The following is a 4878-nucleotide window of genomic DNA, read 5'->3' as shown; positions in this document are numbered from 1 at the left end:
CCTTCAACTAGGCTAAGTAGTTGTCTTTTCCATTGTTGTTCAGTAAGTTTCAGCAGTTCTACCTTGAAGTAGGTAACAGTTTGTGGAAAAGTCACTCTGGGTTGTACAAAGGTTCTCTGTATACAGTTTGTCACAAGTAATAAAGCTACTTTGCAAGACCTGCTTTTTTCCAAAATTAAAAAAAAAATCTAGTCTGTGTTTGGGGGTGATTTGTTTTTTTATTTTTATTTTTTTTGTAAAGCAGCATAGCAACAGTTGTGATTGCAGGACTTGCCTGAGGTTGTAGTCACAACCTTTGCAAACATTTGCCTATCAATGAGAACAATAAAACAGGAGGAGTTTTTTTTTTTTTTTTTTTTAAAGCAGATTCTAGAGATTTCACTCTGCATTTCTCCTTCCATGCAAGTTCTCCTATGCCTTAGCTGACCACAGTCTTGTTTTCTTCCAGGAAGTGAGGACACCGGTGTTTGGGATGGGTCAGTAGCACCTGGTTCTTCCACGTCAGCACTGATGCCTCGTTGGGAGCCATCCCTCTTGGAGATGGTGGCCTTATTCACGACTGAGCTGGCCCCCCAGGGAAAACCGGGAGAGTGGAACATGGCCACTCTGGACCACAGAGGTCTCACTGGTCTTTGTGGCCAGAGCACCGTTGAGCATGCTGGTGTACTGGTTCCACACAGCAGGTACACGCTCACCTAAGGGGCCAGGATTTCCTGGGGAAACATTTCCGATACTCTTTTTCTCTTTGGACCTATTAGAGCCATGGTATTCTCCATGGCTTCCTCCCATGGCAGGCCAAGTGACTGTTCGCCCGTGTGTCATACAGTGGACCTTCAAGGTGCCTTTGGTGGTAAAGGCTCGCCCATAAATGCTGCATACAACAGGCTTCTTGCAGTGTGCACCTGCTCGTGAATCTGAGGAGCGCTAGCGGTGCGTTCCTCCCACACTCCCATAGGCTGGGCCTCCCAGCAGGGCTGCACTAACAAAGGGCTTGCTTGGGGATGGTGCTGATGGTCCAACTGACGTGCCAGAACCCAGACTTTGTCAGCTGGGTTGGCTGGGCTTGGATAAATGTGGAAGAGCGCCTGGTCCCACACTTATGATGCTTGTCGAGGACTGCCTCGTCTTCGGGTTTGCCCATCCGCCCTCCCTCGGAGATGTCCGGCGGCTTCCCCTTCCCGTTCCCGGGTAGTCTAATGCCACTGCGGAGAAAGGCCGCTGGCAGAGTACCCGGCCCAGACCCGAGGACGCACAGCGCTGGGGAGGTGAGACTGATGTTCAGGAGTGCCCTCTCCCATCCGGCTGCAGAGTGGGATGAGGGGCGTCAGCCCTGGGGACAGACAGCTGGCAGCAGAAGGGATGTCGGTGTGAGGTAGCTTGGCCTGTTTCAAAGCGTCCAGAGACAGACCTTGGCTCCCAGCTTTCCCGCTGAGCAAAGCCACTGCTGCTGAAACCTGTGGGACACGTGGCCGCCCAAGGTCTTCAGGGTTGCGGGGCCCCGTCCGGCTAGTGGAGGGCGTGCGAGGCCCACCAGTGCGCCTGGGCGCGGATCTGCTGGGTGAGCTGGATCTGCCGTAGCTGCTGCTGCAGGCACAGGATCTGCTTGAGCACCCACGGGATCCTGTTGGCGCCAGGCACTCGGGCTCCGTGGACTCACCACCCTGCAGTCCCCACAGGGGCACCTTAGTGTTGGCCACTTTACCTTTGGGTGTATAGCTTATGTCCTGGGGTGCCTGTCTTTAAGTACCCGACTTTTCCTTCATGTGCCCTGGGCTGCCACCATTCTCCCTGTGGCCGTACTTCCTGCTTGGACTGGGTGGCTGGTGGCTCAGTACAGACTCGAGGAAGTCTTCTGAAGGCACCGGGCCCTCATTGTCTGTCATTCATGATGAGGACACGTGGATTTTTAGTGCAATTTTTCTTATGTTCCAAGAATTCAGAGATGCCAAAGAACTCCACACAGCGTTTCTCATAGACATGCGTCTCCTCCCCTCGAAGCTGATTTACAGGGCCTTCGTCCTCACTCCTTCCATCTTCATTCCCTGGGACACACGGCTTTCCTGCCGGCGCCGCTGGGGCCGGGTCTGCGAACTTGGGGATTGGCCACTGCGGCTGCTGCTCGCCCTCGTCCTCCTCGGAGATGATGTGCTGGGCTATCCCCTGCTTGCACCTCAACATGGTGCGAGCATTGGGGTGCCAGGAGAGCCACAGATATTTGCCCTCTACGGCAGAAATTCCTGGAGTTGGGAAATATCTCTTCTTGAAAAGACACCAAATCTTCAATAACAAAAGTGTCCCTTTTAAACTCATGGTAGTTACCATGACCATTCCAGTCCAAACTCCTCATACAGCCTAACTCCCCCGCGTGCTCTCTTTCCGCAATGATTGCTCTTGGCTGGTCTGCTTCGTAAACTTTTATTTCCCCCATAACCCACCTGAAATATCTTCCCTGTGAAATCTTTCATCTCCCTTCTTCGAGTTGAGTCCATCCTACTTGATGCCACGACTTTATATTGAATATAACACCATTTCTTACACTGATTTATAACAATTCATCCTTCTGTTCCAGACTTTGAACTCCTTGAGGATAGAGCTCTTTTCTGTTTTGTGACTACTGAATCTGGGTGCTCATGAAATATGTGTGGCATCAATGAATGGCGTTGAGAAGCAATGAAAATCCAGACCCAGTAGGTGACTGGAAATATTAAATTGTGATACGGCCATCAGACTCTGTGACACAAATTGTTTTATTAACCTGCTGGCTGCAGTGACTCAAAACCTGTAATCCCAGCACTTCCACAAGCCTAGAGAGCCATTTGAGCCCAGGAGTTCAAAACCTGCCCCTGCAACATATCTCTACAAAAAAATAACATGTCTCTACAAAAAATAAAGAAAATAGCTGGGCGTGGTGGCACCCACCTGAAGTTCCAGCTACTTGAGAGCTGGATGGGAAGATTGCTTGAGCCTGGGAGGTCAAGGCTATAGTGAGCAGTGATTGTCCTACTGCACTTCAGCCTGGGTGACAGAGCAAGACCTTATCTCAAAAACAAAGCAGCCAACCAAACAAAAAACTGAAAACATTAACCCCAGTCTGTGAAAGATTAGACCATAGCCAACTCTGGTGTGTGAAAGCAAAGTTGACTGGGTTTCAATAATATTCCTTCACTCTAGCTGGCTGGAAGAAATGCTAAGTCAATGCTTTTCTCTTTGAAACCAATATATTTTTATTTGGTTTGTCATTTATTAACCTCTGAATAACTTGTTATGGGTCAAGTGATAGAGTTGCAAGAGGGATTGCTTTGAGACAGGCTGGCAGGATGCCCAGGCAGGCTCTCTTGAGTGCCATCATCCTAGAAGTGCTGCCCTATTCTAGGCTGGGTTCTTTGCTTTCCACAACCTTGACATTTCATTCAGTGTAGAAATGATCATGTAACCAAACCCACAAGACTGATGTATATTAATCGAGATCTCAGTCTGTTCATTGACAATGAAAAGTATAACTGGCAAGCAGATAAGAAATTTCTATTAGCTGATTAGTGTGTTCCTACCTCTTTAGGAAAACATGAGTGGGAAACCAGTGTTTAAATCAAAAATTGTTTAGTAGATCTCGATGAAGAGAGAGAGAGCAAGTGTCGTTGAGCCATGAGAATTGGAGGCTCCACCTTCCTCCTGGCCCCCAGCTGCCAAGCTGACTGGATATTTGCATTTAGGGGCTGCAGTAGTCTTTTCCCTGGATGGAGGAACCTACTAAAAAATCCTTGTCTTTTGACTTCCCGCTTACAAGGAAGTCAGCCCACCCCAATGCATTCAGTTCCTACTACTAACAGGATTTATTCAGGCAAGGCAAAATAAAACTGTCTATTTTAATATAAAATTCTCATGTTAGAATTATAATCTAGTAAGACTACTGTCACACTGTTCATCCTGGATGCCTTGATTGGACTTGAGAGTATTTTCAAATCCCTGCAGCCCACATTTTTCTTGAATTAATTTCTACATTTAGCTAATCTCATCCATTATGTATTAACTCTTATTAGCTTCATTCTTAGAAAATGGCAACATTATTTATAGGTTTTGAGGGCTCAGAACTTTCTAATGTTAGCATAGTTTGGGGGCACTTGGTTCACTGCTACACTCCCTGTAAATACTACTTGATAATTGTCCCTTAAGCTGTGCCTTTTAGACCATTAGTCCCATGTATTGTGTGTCATAAATTCATATTAGTGGGTTCTCACTGGCAGCTTGAAAAATGAAATAGAAAATATTGGAATGCATGGCACATTGTGAGGTAAATATTATTTTATATGTATCCTCTGTGTTAGGTTGTAAAATGTTTTTTGAGTGTGGATTGTGGTTCAAATAATTTGTTAACCACTCCCTAGAACATAGAGCTTTACCCTCTGTCTTAAAGAACAAGATATTCTTTGTGTATGAAGGTGTTAGACATTTATTTGCCTAAAACCTTGGCCATGTTATTTAGAGGAGAGTATATACTCTACATCAGAGACCTGCAGAAATGTCTCATACCAGGGAGTGTGTGACAAGAGCAAAGGTTAAAAAATAGGTACAAGGCATATAAAGCACAATGTGGCATGAGAAATCTGCTGGGAGAAGAGATAATAGAACACGTGGACCCTGGCTGGTCACTGCTTCTCTGTTGCTCAAGGCTGTCTTTTGTACCTGGAGCTTGGGTTCCTGACTGTTAAAGCTGAGCTGTGCTGAATGTACCAAATTCCAGTGAATACAGGTCCACAGTGACCCTTGCTCAGAGTCAACCAGTCAGAACAAACTAAGACATTTTCACATGAAATTCTAATTTTCTTAAGAAATTGCTTTCATAAGCATAAAAATGCAGCATATATTTGGGTACTCCAAGAT

General features: G+C 46.5%; 1 pseudogene; it reads right to left on the bottom strand.

Moving 5' to 3' along the window:
* Positions 1 to 259: 259 nt before the first annotated feature.
* Positions 260 to 2260, bottom strand: SALL4P5 (spalt like transcription factor 4 pseudogene 5; annotated as a pseudogene).

Source organism: Homo sapiens, chromosome 3, assembly GCF_000001405.40.
Source record: "Homo sapiens chromosome 3, GRCh38.p14 Primary Assembly".
Taxonomy (NCBI): domain Eukaryota; kingdom Metazoa; phylum Chordata; class Mammalia; order Primates; family Hominidae; genus Homo; species Homo sapiens.
This window is presented reverse-complemented; position numbering and strand designations above follow the sequence as displayed.